This window comes from Homo sapiens, chromosome 9 (genome assembly GCF_000001405.40).
Source record: "Homo sapiens chromosome 9, GRCh38.p14 Primary Assembly".
Taxonomy (NCBI): Eukaryota; Metazoa; Chordata; class Mammalia; order Primates; family Hominidae; genus Homo; species Homo sapiens.
This window is the reverse complement of record NC_000009.12, coordinates 94308677-94328786: the sequence shown is the minus strand read 5'-3', so window position 1 is coordinate 94328786 and position 20110 is coordinate 94308677. Positions and strand designations below refer to the sequence as shown.

Sequence of the window (20110 nt, the reverse complement as noted above, 5' to 3'; positions counted from 1 at the left end):
ATGTCTGGGGTCCTGTGTTCCAAACCTGTTTATATGCAAATTATCCCTGCTCCACTTGGACTCAGGAGGATCTGCTGAGTCAGGTCACTCTCTGGGTCCTGCCCTTGACTTTTTTCATTGCGGAAGCTGCCAGACAGTGGTGGTCAGTGCCCAGCCTGAGGGGATGGCTTCAAATGGAGGTGAGCCTGTAGGGATGGGGCATTATCCGAGTCTGCCTTGCCTCAACTCCTTGGGAATTCAAATTTGAACTGTCCCTGGGGACAGCTTATAGGGCTGATGTTGAGGGAGGGAGCACTGGATGTCCCCAGGGACATCACACCTGGGGATGGCCATGGCACCCTGAGTCTGTGGTTAGGGAGGAGGGCTCCTTAGAGGCGGACCAAGATGCCTGGGGGAATACACCGTGTAGTGGAAAGGATGGAGAGGATGGGTTGATCCTTTCTAGAGGGGGACAGGTCACGTCATTGTGTTTGTAGGGAGTGGTGGGATCGTGTTGTGCTGGTGGCCCAGGGAGAATGACGGGCAAGCCTGAGCCCTGTGCCGTGTCTTCAGGCACCTGGAAGGTGCCCTTCCATAGTGTTTAGAGGGATTTGGACTGGAGTTTTCTAGTTCTTAGAGAGGAGTGGGGAGAAGTGGTCTCAGCCAGAAAACTGTTGGGTGGGTTGGCTGTGACAGAGCATGTAGTGACAGCCTCTGGGTGGGCAAGGCTGGGGGCCACTGCAACTGCCACAGCCCAGAGCCTCTCAGCTTCCTCCCCAGAGATGGCTTCTCCGTCAGTTCAGGTAGCTGTTGGCTTTGATTTAACAGGGGTGGGGGCAGAATGGGGAAGTTCAGGCAACACAGGGCCTGGGTTTCCTGAGTTGTTCTGAATTGTTTGCCCTTTGGTGGAAGCTCAGGTCTTCAGACCCACTTCCTCTCGTCAGCTAGCTCATGGCCCGTCCTCTGTACTTTGTGTTACTGTGGAGGTGAAGAATTTGCTCCTGTTCCATTTATACTACCTCATGAACGGGCGACAGGTGTGGATTCTTGCTGGTTCTCAGTGGAAGGCTCTGAAAAGGCTGGTTTCCTTTTCAGTAGAGGAAGGAGAGTAGCGCACAAATAGGAAGACAGTCCTATTATTATTATTATTCAAACTAGGATGTGTGTCCTGACTGATGAGGTGCATGTGCTGTATCCCTTATTCCCCTTGGCTAGAGACTGCATGAGGTCCTAGTGAACAGGGATGAGTTCCAGACAACTCTGCCTCACCTGGCCTGTGGCCCAAGAACCCCTGGTTCTTCGTTGGTCCCTATGTTCAGTTACTGGGAGCTCAAAGGAGAAGGACCAGAGATGGGCTCCCTGTCCCACTATTTAGTGTAACATGACTAGCAGCTGTGAAAATCCCTGGCCGGGCGCGGTGGCTCACGCCTGTAATCCCAGCACTTTGGGAGACCAAGGCATGTGGATCACGAGGTCAGGAGTTCAAGACCAGCCTGACCAATATGGTGAAACCCCGTCTCTACTAAAAATACAAAAATTGGCTGGGCATGGTGGCGGGCGCCTGTAATCCCAGCTACTCAGGAGGCTGAGGCAGGAGAAGTGCTTGAACCTGGGAGGCAGAGGTTGCAGTGAGCTGAGATCGCACCACTGCACTCCAGCCTGGGTGACAGAGCGAGACTCCGTCTCAAAAAAAAAAAAAAAGAAAAAAAAGAAAATCCCTAGACACCTCCCCTGATAGCCCTGCTGCTCACCATTTGCTGGCTGTGTTCTAGTCATGTGCAGCTGTTGCTGGCTACACAATGACAATATCTCAGGGGACTCCACCACTGCTTCTCAGATCTGCTCCCTGGGAACTGAGCTTCCTGAGTGGCAGCTGGGACCACTGAGCACTGAGGAATGGGTGGCCTGAATCTGACCCCTATTTAACACTTGTGTGGGTGGTGCCAGGACAATCACTTGCATGCTGGGCGTGATGTGTTATGGGTTATCTTCAGGGTTCCTAGGGCACTGGCTTGGGTGAGTTTCCATCCAGTGGTTTTCTTTTTTTTTTTTTTTTTTTTTTTTGAGACGGAGTCTCGCTCTGTCACCCGGGCTGGAATGAAGTGGCACGATCTCGGCTCACTGCAGCCTCTGCCTCCTCGGTTCAAGCAATTCTCCTGTCTCAGCCTCCTGAGTAGCTGGGATTACAGGCACGCACCATCAGCTAATTTTTGTATTTTAGTAGAGACGGGGTTTCACCACGTTGGCCAGACTGGTCTTCAACTCCTGACCTCAGGTGATCCACCCGCCTGGGCCTCCCAAAGCGCTGGGATGACAGGCATGAACCAGCACGCCCGGCCTATCCAGTGGTTTTCTTTTGTTGTGTTGAGCTAGGAAAGAAAGGGGTTTACAAGAGCTTCAGGGAAAGGAAGACTGAAGAGGAGATGGGGCCATAATATTCGGAAACTTCTGGTTTCCTGTCGGCCTTCTGAATGCCGAGCACTGCCCTGGGGTAGGCCCCTCACCTGCTGCTGAGCACACTGAGAGCCACCAAGCCACCGAGAGACTCATCCCTGACCCATGGCTTGGGAGATGCCTGTGAGGCTGGTGCAGTCTGCCAGGGACACCCGAGGGAGACCCTCAGAGACAGCAAAGGCTTGGCTGTTTCTTCTTGGCAGACAAGGGTCAGGGAGTCTTGGTGACTGGCGCCAGGCTCTCTAGTGGAGCGACTCTGCCGTGGAGGAACAGAGCATCTGATGCACACTCAGGGACACTTGCAAGCTGCAGAGTTTCCCTGTCACATGCCCTCAGCTGTTGGGACTCCCCTGATTCCCCAGTGACTAGTGTGGACCTGGAGACGCCAGCTCATTCACCTCTTTCCTTTGTCTCCACAGCATACCCAGTGCTGGGACCCGGCGTGACCGTGAACCCTGGCACCTCCCTGTCTGTGTTCACGGCTCTGCCCTTTGCCACACCCGCTCCCGGCCCAGCACACAGGCCGCCCCTCGTGACTGCAGTGGTTCCTCCAGCCGGCCCTCTGGTGCTCTCTGCCTTCCCCAGCACCCCTCTAGTGGCAGGACAGGATGGCCGCGGCCCGAGTGGGGCCGGGGCTTCCAACGTCTTTGTCCAGATGAGGACAGAAGTGGGGCCTGTGAAGCCCCCTCAGGCACAGACCTTGATCCTAACTCAGGCCCCCCTCGTCTGGCAGGCTCCAGGCACCCTCTGTGGAGGTGTCATGTGTCCACCTCCCCTACTCCTGGCAGCTGCTCCTGGGGTGCCCGTTACCTCTGCCCAGGTGGTTGGGGGCACCCAGGCCTGTGAGGGAGGCTGGTCCCATGGCCTTCCTCTTCCACCACCACCACCGGCTGCCCAGGTGGCCCCCATCGTGTCCCCAGGGAACGCTAGGCCATGGCCACAAGGGGCTCATGGAGAGGGCAGCCTGGCTCCCTCCCAGGCCAAGGCCCGGCCGGACGACTCCTGTAAACCCAAGAGTGTCTATGAGAACTTCCGACTCTGGCAGCACTACAAGCCCCTGGCCCGGAGGCACCTTCCCCAGAGTCCTGACACTGAAGCGCTTTCCTGCTTCCTCATGTGAGTGTCCTCGGGGCGCCGGAGCTTGTCCTGCAGCTCACTCATAAAGAGGCTGCTGGATGGACAGGAGGTCACACTGTTCAGGGGAGCTTGCAGGGCGGTTGTGAGGGTGATGGGTTGTGCTATGGGAAGGTACGTTTTCAGCAACATTAATCTGGCTGCGGCTCAGGACAGACTGTCAGGGGCCTCACGTCAACTGCCTGTCACTGTCCCGTGAGTCCAGCCAATCCTTAATTTTTTTTTTTTTTTTGAGATGGACTTTCACTCTTGTTGCCCAGGCTGGAGTGCAATGGCGCGATCTCAGCTCATCACAACCTCCGCCTCCCGGGTTCAAGTGATTCTGCTGCCTCAGCTTCCTGAGTAGTTGGGATTACAGGCATGTGCCACCATGCCTGGCCAATTTTGTATTCGTAGAGATGGGGTTTCTCCATGTTGGTCAGGCTGGTCTTGAACTCCCGACCTCAGGTGATCTGCCCGCCTCAGCCTCTCAAAGTGCTGAGATTACAGGCATGAGCCATCATGCCCCGCCCCAATACTTACTTTCTTTTCTTTTCTTTTCTTTTTTTTTTTTTTTTGAGATGGAGTCTCACTCTGTCGCCCAGGCTGGAGTGCAGTGGCGCGATCTTGGCTCACTGCAAGCTCTACCTCCCAGGTTCACGTCATTCTCCTGCCTCAGGCTCCCGAGTAGCTGGGACTACAGGTGCCCACCACCATGCCCGGCTAATTTTTTTGTATTTTTAGTAGAGACGGGGTTTCACCATGTTAGCCAGGATGCTCTCAATCTCCTGCCCTGGTGATTCGCCCGCCTCGGCCTCCCAAAGTGCTGCGATTGCAGGCATGAGCCACCGTGCCTGGCTTTCACTTTCAATAATTTTCACAACAATGTTTACAGAAGACCCAGGTCAGAGAGCGTTCTTGGTGTGACATGAGCCACGGTTAGGGTTTAGGTCTTTTTTGTTTGTTTGTTTGAGATGGAGTCTCGCACTGTCACCCAGGCTGGAGTGCAATGGTGAGATCTTGGCTCACCGCAACCTCTGCCTCCTAGGTTCAAGCGATTCTCCTGCCTCAGCCTCCCAAGTACCTGGGCTTACAGGCGCCCGCCACCATGCCCAGCTAATTTTTTGTATTTTTTAGTAGAGACGGGGTTTCACTATGTTGAGCAGGCTGGTCTTGAACTCCTGACTTTGTGATCCACCCGCCTCAGCCTCCCAAAGTGCTAGGATTGCAGGCGTGAGCCACCGCACCCACCCTGGGTTTAGGTCTTTGAGTGTACACCCCAGTGCCTTCCCTCGAACTGAGTGTCAATGGCCAGGGGCACATCACATGGGGCTGGGGGGAGGAGCTGCAGGGCCCAGCAGGAACCTGGCACACACCCACACTGTTCTGCCGCGGTCCAGTTAGCACAGCGGTGGTGGAGCCTGCACAGGGGGATGGTCTTGGGACCCGCACTAGGGTCGATGCTGGGCAGGTATTAGCATCTTCACCGTCAATCCCCCCTAGAAAAAAGGACAATGGTGTTTCATTCAGAGGATGGCAAAGAGATGACCTGAGCTCACATATGACATACGTAGCACAGTGCCTGGCACATACTATGACACATTACATGACAGCAGTTATGATTACTGTCCCCATTACTACCATTATCAGGACTAGGCCATCTAGGAGAGTGCTCCCCAAAGCCACGGGCTCCAGTGATAGCTCTGAGTGCACCACGAGCCCAGCAGCCCAGAGCCGTGGACTGTGGTGACTGTGAGGCAGCAACATCAGCATCTGGGAGAGTTTGTGGTTTCATTCCCAGTCCCTGCCTCTCTCCACCCCGCGGCACCTCTGTGACCCTGTGTTTCCCGCTGATGAGCAAACAGGAGCTTGAGCATATCCACCGTGCAACACACTGGCCATTCCCCTAGGGGAGTCCCCTGCCTGGGGTGTAGGTGAAGGCGGCCCCGTCTTCCTCCCCAACAGTCTCGCTGCCCCCACACCCTGGAACTGGTTGCATCCCCCCTTGGAGCGGAGTCCCGGTGCACTGGGGACCCTGATTCTTGGAGTGTAGCCGCCCCGGGCTCACAGGCCTTTGCCTTGGCTCCTGTGGGAATGTGGGAAGCTGTGCCTGGCTGCTTGCAGTGGCTTGGACACCGCTCTGCTTTGGTTCTGGACGTGTGCTCCTGCTCCTCAAGCTCCAGGACCCTGAGGCTGTGTCCCCAGGGGCTGCCTTGCTCCAGAGTCCCCAGGAAGCTGGTTAAATGCTCAGTCCTGTGGCCCAGGAACCTGCACTTTAACCCTCGCTCCCAGGTCATTCTGTGTGCATGGTGTCTCAGTCAGCTCAGGCTCTGCCGTAACGAATCCCATAGACTGGGTGCTTTATCAAGACACATTCATGTCTCCTAGTTCCAGAGGCCAGAAGTCCCAGATCAAGGTGACAGCGGATTGGGTGTCTGGTCAGGGCCCTCTTCCTGGCTGGAGAGAGCTGCCTCTGGCTGTGTGCTCTTGTGGCTGAGAGCAAGAGCCCTGGTGTCTCCTCCTGCCCTTATCAGAGCTCGGATTCCATGACTGGGACCCACGCTCATGACCTGCTCTAACCCTGATTGCCTCCAAATACTGACACACTGACACTGAGGGCTTCAGCACAGGAATGTTGGGGACACACATGTTCCACCCATAGCACTGAGTTCGCTTGTCAACATCATAACACCGAGGACTTGAGAGGCAGTCGGAGAGGCCACTCAGTGGCTTCTATTGATGTTGGATCTTGGGGGTGTGTCCTGGAGGCTGAGGAGCCCACATGGGGGAGAACAGGACAGGGACAGATGGCAGGACAGGTGTGGGGAGGACAGGAGCCAGGTGTTGGGACCAGGTGGGCCCGGGATGGAGGGTGGGCTTACAGACTGGGACTGACTGCACTGGTTTACAGCCCAGTTCTCCGATCCCTGGCCCGGCGGAAGCCCACCATGACGCTGGAGGAGGGACTGTGGCAGGCCATGCGGGAATGGCAGCACACGAGCAACTTTGACCGGATGATCTTCTACGAGATGGCGGAAAAGTGAGTCTGGGGTCCTGGGGGCAGGGCCCGTGTGGCGGGGTGAGAGTGAATGACAGAGGCCCGGTGGCCGTGGTGGCTTCTCAGCATGGAGCATGAGGAGGGTGTGGACAAACACAGGATGCCCTGGGCCCCTGGCTCCCTCAGGAAGCTGCTCCTGACACCTAGAGTGCTCTGGGGTCTCTGTCCCGCCCTCTTGGGAAGCACCCCCTGCCTGGCCTGGGGCCAACCGCTGTCTTGACACTGGGGGTCATGGCGGGAGCAGCCAGCATCGCAGCCCAAAGGGGGTCTCCTCCAGCTGTGGGGATGGGGAGAAGGGGTGCTAGTGACTAAAGACAGAGTGGGGGGCAGGCTCCTCACAGCAGTGGCCAGAAGTCGGTTTTCTCCCATCCCAGCCTGGCCAGGGAGTTGGGTCAGGGGAGACCTGTACCTGGGACACCATGAGACCCCTCTCTGGCCTGACTGCCTTTGCTCCTGGGCAGAACCGTCCGTGAAGACAGACAGACAGCAGCCTCAGGGGAAACGGGCCCTGTCCTCTGGGCTCAGCTTTTGCTTCCTCCTGACCAGGGGTCTCCCGGGCCTCGTGTCCCTGGGTTATCCTTCAGGGGCCCACAGTCCCAGCCTCAGGACTCCTGCATCTGGGCATCATCCCTGACGCCTTCTGCCATCAACCCCACCCCCGGCCAGCTGATACCTGGAGGAGGGGTTCCCGGGACCCTCCTGGACCTCGTGGCCCTGACTTGAGTCAGGAAGCCCCATTGATGCCATGGGCTCTGCAGGGGCCGGGTGAGGGAGGGTGAGCCCAGAACTCTGGGAGCAGCTCCCTCCTGGGACTGGGGGATGGGTCCCAGTGAGGGCCTGGACAGCCCGCCGGAGGCACTCCCTCCCATCCCTGCCCTCAGCTGCTGCCTGGTCCTGGGGGGAGGGGGCCTGGACCCTCTCAGCACAGCCTGGGCCTCCTTCACCCACAGGTTCCTGGAATTTGAGGCTGAGGAGGAGATGCAGATTCAGAAATCGCAGTGGATGAAGGGGCCCCAGAGCCTGCCTCCTCCAGCCCCGCCGAGGCTTGAACCTCGAGGACCCCCTGCCCCTGAGGTGGTCAAGCAGCCAGGTACAGCTTCCCACATTCCCACAGGAGCCATGGCAAAGGCCAAAGGGGCCAAGGGAGGCCACTGTCCCCACACCCCATGCTTCCCTTCAAGAGGGGGATTTGCTCCCTCCAACAGGACAGCTTCCGGGAGTGTATGTTGGGTATTGACCAGGTGAATACCTACTTCATGGGTGGCCCGTGATCACGAAGCAGGGTATTGACCGGGCCAAGTTTCCTACTTTCTCTCTCCCCTTGCCTGTCCAAAACTCCACATATGCTCTGCCCAGGAAGCAGAGATGAGCGGGGAGAGTACACGGCATATCGGTGGCTCCAAACTTCCTCCCAAGCGATGCTGTCTCAGATGTGCCCCTCCTGTGGCGTCTCCTCCGGGGCGCTGTGGTTCAGGTGGTCCTGACCCAGCTGGGACCCACTTCACATCCCCAAGCCCTGCCCTCCCCTGTGTGGTGCAGGCAGGAGGAGCGGCCCTCACCACACCCATCCTCCTCCCTCTCTGCCTCAGTGTACCTTCCCAGCAAGGATGGCCCCAAGGCCCCGACTGCCTGCCTGCCACCACCCAGGCCCCAGAGGCCAGCGGAGACCAAGGCCCACCTGCCACCACCCAGGCCCCAGAGGCCAGCGGAGACCAACGCCCACCTGCCACCACCCAGGCCCCAGAGGCCAGCGGAGACCAAGGTCCCTGAGGAGATCCCCCCTGAAGTGGTGCAGGAGTATGTGGACATCATGGAGGAGCTGCTGGGGTCTCACCCTGGGGACACAGGGGAGCCTGAGGGACAACGGGAAAAGGGCAAAGTGGAGCAGCCGCAGGAAGAGGACGGGATAACCTCAGACCCGGGCCTCCTGAGCTACATTGACAAGCTGTGTTCCCAGGAAGACTTTGTCACCAAGGTGGGCTTGCCTGGAGTGCTGTGGTCTGTAGGATTCCAGGGGGTGGCACTTCCAGGTCCTTGGAATTAAGCTCTGTTCCTTAGCTACTCAGTAGTATGTGTATTTCCATGGATTTGAGTGTCTGTGTATGTGACTGTGTGTGTCTGTGTGTTGCTGTGTGTTTGTGTCTGTGATTTGTTACTGTGTCTTTGTGTGTCTGTGTGGGTGTGAGTGTGGAGTGTGTATGTTACCTGTGTCTGTCTTTTCCTGTGTTGTACATGGGTCTGTGTGTCTGTGTGTGGTTTGTGTGTCTCTGTCTGTATGTGTGTATGCTACGAGGTCTGTGGTCTGTGCGTGTAGCTGGTGGTCGCCATGATATGAAACAGCCCCAGGAGGGTGGGAATGGGGCCCTCCCCGCTTTCTGCATCTCCTCCGGGTGTCCTTGGCTCCAGGTTACTCCCTCCCCAGGAAGTTCACACCTTCTTCCTTCTGTTTCCAGGTGGAGGCCGTCATTCACCCCCGATTCCTGGAAGAATTGCTTTCCCCAGATCCACAGATGGATTTCTTGGCCCTAAGCCAGGAGCTGGAGCAGGAGGAAGGACTCACCCTTGCCCAGGTAGAGCAGCGGAGGGAGGGGAACCCAGGTACTCCAGGGGCAGGAGGGACCCGGCACACAAGGCCCACCCGATTGTCTAAGCCCACCCTGCTGGGGATGTTCAGCTTCTTGGGGAGCCACTCCGGGGTGGGAAGATGCAGGTTCAGAGGGAGTAGGATGGAGAGGAGCCAGGGAGGGGAGTCAGGATGCAAGCTGCAGTGAGGCCCAACGGGATGCCCGGCAGAGCCACACCCTCTCTCTTTGACATGAAGCCCAGCTGCCTCAGGCTTCCCTGCCTCCCACCCAAGTGCCCTGGTCTCCACCATTCTGGGCCCTGCTCACACCTGGGGCAGCGCCAGTAAGTGCCCCCTTTCCTTCCGCAGCTAGTGGAGAAGCGCCTCCTGTCCTTGAAGGAGAAAGGGTGCGGGAGGGCAGCCCCTCGACATGGCACGGCCAGGTTGGACTCAAGTCCTTCTGAGTTTGCAGCTGGCCAAGAAGCAGCGAGAGAGGTCCCTGACCCCCAACAAAGGGTCAGCGTGGAAACCTCCCCACCCCAGACAGCTGCCCAGGACCCTCAGGGACAGGGCAGAGTGCGCACTGGCATGGCCAGGTCCGAAGACCCTGCTGTGCTTTTGGGATGTCAGGATTCCCCCAGGCTGAAGGCTGTCCGGCCAACCTCTCCTCCCCAGGACCACAGACCCACCTGCCCCGGCCTGGGGACCAAGGACGCCTTGGGTCTCCCTGGAGAGTCTCCTGTCAAGGAGTCACATGGGCTGGCTAAGGGGTCAAGTGAGGAGACGGAACTCCCTGGCATGGTCTATGTCGTGGGTTCCCACCACAGGCTGAGGCCCTGGAGGCTGTCCCAGAGCCCTGTCCCTTCCTCGGGCCTTCTCAGCCCAGGAGGGAGAGGACCCCAGGGAGCTCTTCAGTCTCCATCTGCTCAGAAAAGAGGCCTCAGCCCATCACCTTCTCCTGCCAGCAAGTCCAAGAAGCGACCTCTCTTTGGAAGCCCATCCCCTGCTGAAAAGACACCGCACCCAGGGCCTGGGCTCAGGGTCTCTGGGGAGCAATCCCTGGCTTGGGGGCTGGGTGGCCCCTCACAGTCTCAAAAGAGAAAGGGTGACCCCTTGGCCTCCAGGAGGAAGAAGAAGCGGCATTGTAGCCAGTAGGGGCCGCCATGGGGCAGACTCTCTGATGCCAGTCCCCAAAAGTGGGGCTCTGAAGTCTCGGACCCTCATGGCACCCGGTGCCCCAAAGCAAAGGCTGCTTCTCCTCCAGTGCTGATCTTGCTGGGCCTTAGCTTTGGAGGGTAGGGGAAGGAGGGGAGGGAGAAGGTGGCTGAACGGGGAGGGCAGGAAGGGAGGGCCTGGGGGGTGGGAAGCAGTGCCTTGGGGGCCTTGTGTGTAAATGTGAATAAATGTAGTTGTTTTGGAAAATGCTCTCAGGGCTGCTGCCTCTGCCCTTGGCGTTGTGCTGCTTTGTGGAGGGTGTCTGTGAGGCCTCAGGGCTGAGGAACTGGGAGAGGCCAGGCACTGGGAACCCACAGGGGCTGGCCCCACTCTTTTCTCCTGTTATAGGGGGCCCCTTCAGATGCTCTGGGGACTGACAGATGCTGAGGAAGCCCTGATCCCTCCCACCATCCACTCACAAGGCCCCGCCTGCTTTAGGGAGGCTTCTCGGGGCCTCCCATCATTATCAGTATCCCTGGAAAATCCTGGGATGGAGAGAGCTGGCTGGCTTTTTTTCTGCTCGGTGGGAGCTGAGGAGAAGGCAGCTGCCTGCAACATGGACATGGGGAGAGGCGGCTGCTCCTGCTTAACCCTCATCAGGAAGAGCACGGGCACTGGGCTGAGGGGAGACGTTGAGGTGACCGTCCACATGGGTGTGTTTGGGATATGATGAGGGGCGCAGAGCAGGGGCCTGTTTCTGGGCAGGAGAGAGTCTTGTCCAACTGGCTGAAGCAGATGCTCCTTGCTGTGGCCACATGGAATGGCCTCAGGGGCCCTCAGGGTCTTGCATGGAGCTCCCCCAACAGCTATGATTCCCTTCCCATATGATGACTGAACTCGTGTGGAATTGATGTAGACACAGATTTACATTGGCATCTAAAACAGTTCCCTCCCAACACACCATCACCAACGGGAACAAGCATGACCAGCCTGCCAGGCGCAAGGTGGGTGTGTCTGCTGGTCCCAGGGCCAGGAGAAGCTGGGGCCCAGGCCGAGAGGGGCCGAGGGTCAGTCGCCCTTCTGCCAGGCACAGACCCCAAGGGCAGAGCAGGGGCTGCCTGGGATGTGGCACTGGCTGTCTGGGAAGTGCCCTGAGAGTCGGGGGCCAGGTGTTCACTGAAGGGAGACTTCTGGAGTCTACGAGTGAGATGAGGACTGCATCAGGAGAGGGACTGAGGCTGGGGAGGATACTCTGCTTTTTCCCAGGTTGTCCTGTCCTCCCCATCTCTGCTGAACTCCCCTCACCCCATGTGGCCGACCTCTGCCCCCCTTACCCCTAACCCACCTCTCAGAATCTCAGATCCCAGCATGGACAGGACCCAGCACCTGCCCTGGTTCCCTCCTGGCCAACACCTTCTTCTCCACAGTCTGAGTTCTGATTCCTCCCCAGGGCCCTTGTTGGCTCAGGACCGCTGTGACTGCCAGAGCACTGGTCCCAGCACTGCCCGCATGCAGAGCTGTGGTCATGGTGCTGGGAGTTGGCCCAGCAGCAGAAGCTGATGGGGCAAAGCTCTCTGGTATATGGCGGCCTGGTCCCTCTGCCAAGTGACAAAGGGAGCCATGTTTGGGTTCTCTCTGGCCCCATCTGCCCACAGAACACAGCAGTCAGCCAGACAGATGCCTCTCTGCCCCATCCCTTCCGCTCCATGTGGGCAGTGTCGGAGGCCTGCCACCCGCTTTCGCCTTTGGGAAGGAGAGTTTATCTTGGCAGGGCTTCCCCAGCTGAGGGCACAACAGGCCCTTGGGGAAAATGTGGGGAGTGAAGAGTCACTGGTGGGTGATGTGGGCAGCTCCCGTGACTCCTCTACATTCAGGGCCATCCTCAGGAGACAAGGTAACACCTCCCCTTTGCAGGGTTTAGGAATGTTAAGTGAGCCGTGTTTGAAGGGAATGTGGTCTGTACTCTGGCGTGTGTGGGTGCTCAGCCAACTTCCTCACCTAAGTGTGAAAGTGATACCTTGGTTTAGTGACACCTCGGGGCTTCTGCTGGTTTACCCCACTAGCTGTTTCCTGCCCCACTGTCCCTGTCCTTGTTTTGGCTGAGCCATTTCCAAGAGGCAGAACCTATGCTTCCTTCACCTCTGTGTCCCGCCTGAGCCCTACAATCTGCCCCTAAATGGGCACAGTGGGGCTGACTGGGGGACTCTGATGGACTTAACATGTGTCCCCCCCGCCCAGTTCCTGTGGTGAAGCCCTAACTCCTAACGTGATGGTATTTGGAGATGGGGCCTTTGGGAGTTACTCAGGGTTAGAAGAGAACATGAGGGTGGGGCCCTAATGATGGGATTAGGGCCATGGTAAGAAGCAGAGATCCCAGCACTCTCTCTCTCTCCCTGACATGAGGACACAGTGAGAAGGCAGCCGTCTGCAAGCCAGGAAGAGAGCCCTCACCAGAACCTCACCTTGCTGTGACCCTAACGTCAGACTTCCAGCCTCCAGACTGACAAATACATTTTGTTTCTTAATACGCACCGCCTCCCCCACCCACCAAGTCTAGGACACTTTGTCCTAGCAGCCCTATGTGACTAGGACAAGGTCCATCATCTCAGGAACTTCCTTCCTGACTGGTATCTGGAAACTGTATCAGAGCCATGGGAAAGAATGAAGAAAGGCTCGGCTCTTTACGACTGTCAGCACACCTCCACCCCAAGTGCAGTGTATCACACGTGAACCAGTACTGCTGTGGGACACAGTGCAAGGGAATCTGTAAACACCCATGACATCGTCATATCCACACTTGGGGAAGCCAAGCAGCTTGCTCACAGCAGGTGCTGGGGGTATGCTGAGGCTCTCGGTGGGTTTGGTCTCCCTGCTCACGCAGCCAGGTCACTCTCTGGGAGCCAGTGCAGTTGGGGCGGCCCCGGGCAGGTTTGCCTCCAGAAACCACTCCCTTCACCACTGGACAACAGATCCCTGAAGAAGCCATGGCCTCCTGAGAAACTCCATCTGACAATGTGAGCAAGGCCGGCCCCCGTTAGTAAACATGCAGTGCTTTCTGACAGCTACCAGGATGGACTTGCTCCAGGTGGCTGCCCTTTTGTAGCTGCACTTTGATTCTAACTTCAGCATCCCATGATGTCCTTCAGGTCTTGGTGCCCTGGGCAATGTTAGTGAGAGTCACCTGGTTTGGGGGATCTGGGCCAGGCTGCCCCCTCCTGGCCAATCGGCTGATACCCGGCCAGGGCTGCCAGAGTCATTGTCACTGAGTCCCTGACCATTACTGGGTGCAGACTCTCAACAGTGGCCCCCACCCTGGCACATCCCCTGTGAGGGAGCTGATACGCTGGGTTTTACTGAATTCTGAGTTATGATGTCATTGAGCATGCTTTGTCTGCACACTTGTGCCCTTTGAGCTCATTTTAGGCAAATGTATCCGGACTAAGGTTGTATTTACCGATGGTTCATTTTCCGTCCTCATCTCAGTCCTCGGAAGGATGAATTCCACCTCTCAGGCCATGGTCCTTCCTCAGAGTTTCCTTTGTCTTAGTTCATTCCAAAGATCATGTTGTAGGGACGTTTATCACGTATACGGTATTTGCATAAACTGTATGAGCGATTAAAAGATATTCTCTGACATTAAACACAAACAACATAGAAATCTCACGGGTGACGATAGGATCACAAGATTCCTAATAAATGTTAAGTGGATGGTTACTCAAGGTAAATCCCTTCATCCCCTTGCCCTTCATTAGAATAGACAGAAACTGACTGTATACAGGCTTTACTCCTTTATAATGTGCCAAAATAAAACCCCAAAGCACAAATCGCACAAACCAAGTCATGCCACTGGGACCATCGTGTGTCATCTGAGCTAGCTGGGCCATGCCAACTCCTACTCCATCTTCTGCTTTTCCCTGCATTCCTCAGGAATGAGAGCTTCTGTGTGAGCATTCATAAGACATCCTGCATTCACGTCCACTGATGTGTTTTCTTTTTTAAAAAACTATGCACATTTTATTAGGAATGTTTCAACCACATAGAAAACATATAATAGAAACCAATATAGACACCACATAGACGTGGGCCATGTTAACATTCTACCGTTTGCTCATTTTTTAAATAAAACCTTTATGAAGACATTCACATAGCATGCTTTCACTCATTGAAATTGTACAATTTGGGTTTTTCATAGAATTTGCCACCATCACCACATTAAATATATTTATAGAATTTGCAACCATCACTGCATTAAGTCTACTTATAGAATTTGTAAGCATCATCACTATAAACTTTAGAACATTTTTATCACCTCAAAAAGAAAACCCCTAGGCTGGGTGCAGTGGCTCACGCCTGTAATCCCAACACTTTGGGAGGCCGAGGTGAGTGAATCACTTGAGGTGAAGAGTTCAATACCAGCCTGGCCAACATGGTGAAACCCCGCCTCTACTAAAAATACAAAAATCAGCTGGGCATGGTGGCACACATGTGATCCCAGCTACATGAGAGGCTGAAGCAGGAGAATCGCTTGAACCGGAGAGGCGGAGGTTGCAGTGAGCCGAGATAGTGCCGCTGCACTCCAGCCTGGGTGACAGAGTGAGACTCCATCTCAAAAAATGAAGAAGAAAAAAAAACCCTTGTCCTTTAGCTATCACCCCCTGCCCCCCACCGATCTACATCCTAGGCCTACATAACCACGAACTGATTCTATATAGCTTTACATGCTCTGGACTTGCATATGAATGGAATCATACAATATATGTCTTTCACACCTGTCTTATTTTACTTTAAATATTTCCAAGCTTCATCCATGTTTTTAGCATCTATCATTACATCAAACCTTTTTATTGCTGAATAATATTCCATTGGTGGATATCCTGAAACTTATTCATTCATCAGGTGATGAACATTTGGGTTGTTTTCACTTTTTGGCTACTGTGAATTATATATATATTATAATATATAATATATATTTTATATTATAATATATTTTATATATTATAATATATAATATAATATATGTTATATTATATAAAATATAAAATATATTATATTATATTATATAAAATATAATATATATTATATTTTATATAATATAATATATATTATATATTATATTTTATAAAATATAATATATTATATTTTATATTATAATATATATTATATAATATAAATATATTATATATTATATATTACATAATATATATTTTATATATATATAATATATATTATATATATATAATATATAATATATTATATAATATATATAATATATTATATAATATTTATATAATATATATTATGTAATATATAATATATAATATATTTATATTATATAATATATTATACATATTATATAATATAAATATATTATATACATATTATATAATATATAATATATTATATATTATATATTATATTATATATATTATATAATATTATATATATTATATAATATAAAATATATATAATATATAATATATAATATATAAATTATATATAATATATATAATATATATTATATATAATATATATAATATATATTATATATAATATATATAATATATAATATATAAATTAGATATAATATATATAATATATAATATATAAATTAGATATAATATATATAATATATAATATATAAATTAGATATAATATATATAATATATAATATATAAATTAGATATAACATAAAATAAAGAAAAAGAAAAATATATTATATATAAAATAAAAAGAAAATATATATTTTATTTATATATATGTATTTTTAAATCCTTTACAGGATATAATTTGCAGAAATAGTCTCCCATTCCATTGGTCGTCCTTTCTTTTTTTTTTGAGACAGAGTCTTGCTCTGTTGCCCAGGCTGGAGTGCAGTGGTGCGATCTCGGCTCACTGCAAGCCCTACCTCCCGGGTTCACACCATTCTCCTGCCTCAGCCTCTTGAGTAGCTGGGACTACAGGCGCGTGCCACCACACCTGGCTAATTTTTTTTTTTTGTATTTTTAGTAGGGACAGGGTTTCACCATGTTAGCCAGGATGGTCTTGATCTCCTAACCTCGTGATCCACCTGTCTCAGCCTCCCAAAGTGCTGGGATTATAGGCGTGAGCCACTGTGCCCAGCCTCTTTTTTTTTTTTGAGACAGAGTTTCGCTCCTTTGCCCAGGCTGGAGTGCAGTGGCGTGATCTCGGCTTACTGGAACCTCTGCCTTTGGTTTCAAGGATTCTCCTGCCTCAGCCTCCCCAGTAGCTGGGATTACAGGCATGTGTCACCACGCCCGGCTAATTTTTGTATTTTTAGTAGAGACAGGGTTTTGCCATGTTGGCCAGGCTGGTCTTGAACTCCTGAAATCGTGATCCGCCTGCCTCGGCCTCCCAAAGTTCTGGGATTACAGGCCTGAGCCACCGCGCCTGGCCATCATTTACTTTCTTGACAGTATTCTTTGAAGCACAAAACTTTTTTACTTTGGATGAAGTCCAATTTATCTATGTGTTCTTTTGTTACTTGTGCTTTTGGTGTCATATTTAAGAAATCATGAACTAGTGCTAGGTCATGAAGATTTATTCCTATGCTGCTGCTTTTTAAAAAAATCATTTAAAACATTTTAAAGTATACAGTTCAGTAATGTTAAGTATGTTTACATCATTGTGAATATACTTAACACGTTAAGTATATTCTTACTTCTTAATCTTTAGAAATTTTTCATCTTCCAAAACTAAAATTCTGTACATATTAAACACTAATCCCACCACCACCACTCCCACTCCCAGCCCTTGGCAACCACTACTGTGATTTTGACTACTTTAAATACTTCATATGAAAAAAAAAATCTGTCTTTTTGTGATTGGCTTATTTCACTTAGCATAATGTTCTTGAGGTTCACCCATGTTCTAGCATGTGACATGGTTTCCTTCTTTCCGAAGGCTGCTTAGTCTTCATATATATATACACAAATACACATATATACACCATATTTTATCCTTTCATCCACCAAAGTCATTTGGATTGCTTTTATCTCTTGGCTATTGTGAATAATGCTGCAATAAACATGGGTGTGCAAATATCTTTTTGAGATCCTGCCTTTAATTCTTTAGGTTATATACTGAGAAGTAGGATTGTTGAATAGCATGGTAATTCTATTTTTCATTTTTAAACAACCTTCATACTATTTTTCATCACTGGGCACAGAGTCTCAAGAGTGGCCACCACCCTAGCACATCCCCTGTGAGGGACCTGATGAGCTGTTTTACTGAATTCTGAGTTATGATGTCATCAAGGATACTTTGTGCATACAACTGTGCCCTTTGAACTTATGTTAGGCAAATGTATTGAGACTAAGGCTGTCCTAATGCTGGTTCATTTCTCATCTTCATCCCAGTCCTCTGAAGGACCAATTCCATCTCTCCTGCCATAGTCCTTCCTTCTAATGTTCTTTGAAATGTATTACTTCATTCCAAAGATCACGACTAGGGACTTGTATTGGATGGATCTGTAGAAGCGTATTTGGGATTAAAAGACATTCTGTGACAGCAAATACAACAGACAAATGCCCAACATGAATACAGGATCAGTAAGTTCCTAAAACCAATCCTAAAGGGATTGCTCATGGTAAATTTATCGTCTCTTCCAATCTGTTCATGTGAACATGTTCAAATACAGATTCGCTCATTAATGCACAGAAGGAGTCTTGAACGAGTTATGTTACAAGCCAGCTTATACCATGGGATCCTGCATGGGTCATTAGAACCAGCTAGGTGATACCAGGGCATTCTCCATCCTTCTATCCCACTGCCCTTTAATGAACACTAACTCTGGCTTTGTTGGATCCCTGTGTGCTGGCCTAGAAAGTAATGAGCACTGAGGAATCAGAAAATTCCCACTATTTCTGTCTCTGTGAGCTTCTCCAGCGGCCTGAGGGCCATATTTTCAGGGTATTTTTTACTTGCCACTCTACAAGTGCAAAAGACTGACAACCACTACATAAAGTTAATATTTGAAAAGTTTGCTCCAATGATACTTGAACAACCTATACAATGTAACTAAACAAGTGTAATTGAATTTTAATCTAATGTGTCTATAGTATAAGCTTTAATTACATAAACATGAGAAGGAAAGGAAAGTTCTCAAACATTTGGAAATTGAAGTGCATTCTTCTAAATAGCTCATGAGTTATAATCTTGGGGGAAATTAAAAATAATACAGACCTAAATAAAAATAAAACATAAAACGTGGTAAGGTACAGATAAAGCATTGTGAAGAGGGAAATAATCAGCGTTAGAAGCTTATATTAGAAAAGAAGAAAAGTCTCACATCAATAATTTAAGCTTTCACCTAAAGAAACCAGAAAAAGAGCAAAATAAAATCAGAGCACGCAGAGGACAGGAAATAATAGGTAAAAGACGAAATCAATAAAATTGAAAAGAGAAAATCAATACAATTTAATTTTTTTTTTTTTTTTTTGAGATGGAGTCTCACCATGCCTAGGCTGGAGTGCAATGGTGTGATCTTGGCTCACTGCAACCTCCGCTTCCTGGGTTCAAGCCATTCTCCTGCCACAGGTAGCTGGGACTACAGGTGCACGCCACCACACCCGGATAATTTTTGGATTTTTAGAAGAGATGAGGTTTCACCATGTTGGCCAGGCTGGTCTCAAACTTCTGACCTCAAGCGATCCGCCTGCTTTGGCCTCCCAGAGTGCTGAGATTACAGGCTTGAGCTACCGCACCTGGCTTAAAATTGCTTTTTAATACAATCAGTAAAATTCATAATCTTCTGATGCTAAAATAATAGAGTAGATTCAAGTTAAGAATGCCAGCAATGTGCGGTGGCTCACGCCTGTAATCCCAGCATTTTGGGAGGCCGAGGCGGGTGGATCACGAGGTCAGGAGATCGAAACCATCCTGGCTGACATGGTGAAACCCCGTTTCTACTAGAAATACAAAAAAATTAGCCGGACGTGGTAGTGGGCTCTTATAGTCCCAGCTACTCGGGAGGCTGAGGCAGGAGAATGGCATGAACCCAGGAGGCTGAGCTTGCAGTGAGCAGAGATCGCGCCACTGCACTCCAGCCTGGGCAACAGAGCGAGACTCCGTCTCAAAAAAACAAGAAAACAAAAAAATGATGCCAGCAATGAAAGAGGAGATATAACCACAGATCCCGTAGTCATTTAAGAGATAATAAAATAACATACTAACAACTATATGCACACTCATATTAAAAAAAATATTAAAAACTAACATGGGCCTGGCACGGTGGCTCACGCCTGTAATCCCAGCACTTTGGGAGGCCGAGGTGGGTGGATCACTTGAGGTCGGGAGCTCGAGACCAGCCTGACCAACATGGAGAAACCGTCCCTACTAAAAATACAACATTAGCTGGGTGTGGTGGTGCATGCCTGTAATCCCAGCTAATCGGGAGACTGAGGCAGGAGAATCGCTTGAACCCGGGAGGCGGAGGTTGCAGTGAGCTGAGATTGAGCCATTGCACTCCAGCCAGATTACGACTATAGTCCTAGCTACTTGGGAGGCTGAGGTGGGAAAATGGCTACAGCCCGGGAGGTAGAGGCTGCAGTGAGCCATGATTGTTCCACTGCTCTCCAGCCTTGGTAACAGAGCAAGACCCTACCCTGTCAAAAAAAAAAAAAAAGGTTATTTACATATCTTAAAATTATCTTCTAAAACATTTGTTCTTTTTTTTTTTTTTTTTTTTTTTGAAACAAACACTCTCTCTGTTACCCAGGCTGTAGTGCAGTGGTGTGATCTCAGCTCACTGCAACCTCCGCCTCCTGGGG

At 51.0% G+C, this 20110-nt stretch overlaps 1 protein-coding gene and 1 long non-coding RNA gene across 3 annotated transcripts, besides 1 other annotated feature; one reads left to right on the top strand and one right to left on the bottom strand.

The window, feature by feature from the left end:
- The first annotated feature begins 142 nt into the window (after positions 1–142).
- Positions 143–10589, top strand: NUTM2F (NUT family member 2F). The gene is made up of 7 exons (NM_017561.2): positions 143–179; positions 2853–3549; positions 6458–6586; positions 7555–7694; positions 8194–8579; positions 9058–9174; positions 9537–10589. Exons 1-7 carry the CDS (start codon positions 164–166, stop codon positions 10320–10322), a joined length of 2271 nt encoding a protein of 756 aa, NP_060031.1. The 5' UTR covers positions 143–163; the 3' UTR covers positions 10323–10589.
- On the bottom strand, positions 4785–18835 carry LOC105376154 (uncharacterized). Of its 2 annotated transcripts, none has more exons than XR_930132.4 (3): positions 18796–18835; positions 13777–13926; positions 4785–5045 (listed from the first exon to the last, which is right to left on the bottom strand). It is a non-coding gene; the product is annotated as an uncharacterized LOC105376154 (long non-coding RNA). The 2 variants fall into 2 exon arrangements; XR_001746842.3 differs by lacking the exon at positions 18796–18835 and adding an exon at positions 14157–14613.
- Positions 9623–10302: an enhancer, noted in NCBI's record as "H3K4me1 hESC enhancer chr9:97080767-97081446 (GRCh37/hg19 assembly coordinates)". NCBI's record gives its function as "activates a minimal SCP1, AML or CMV promoter by ChIP-STARR-seq in naive H9 embryonic stem cells {active_cell/tissue: H9 hESC(naive)}" and the evidence as "EXISTENCE:reporter gene assay evidence [ECO:0000049][PMID:30033119]".
- Positions 18836–20110: the final 1275 nt, after the last annotated feature.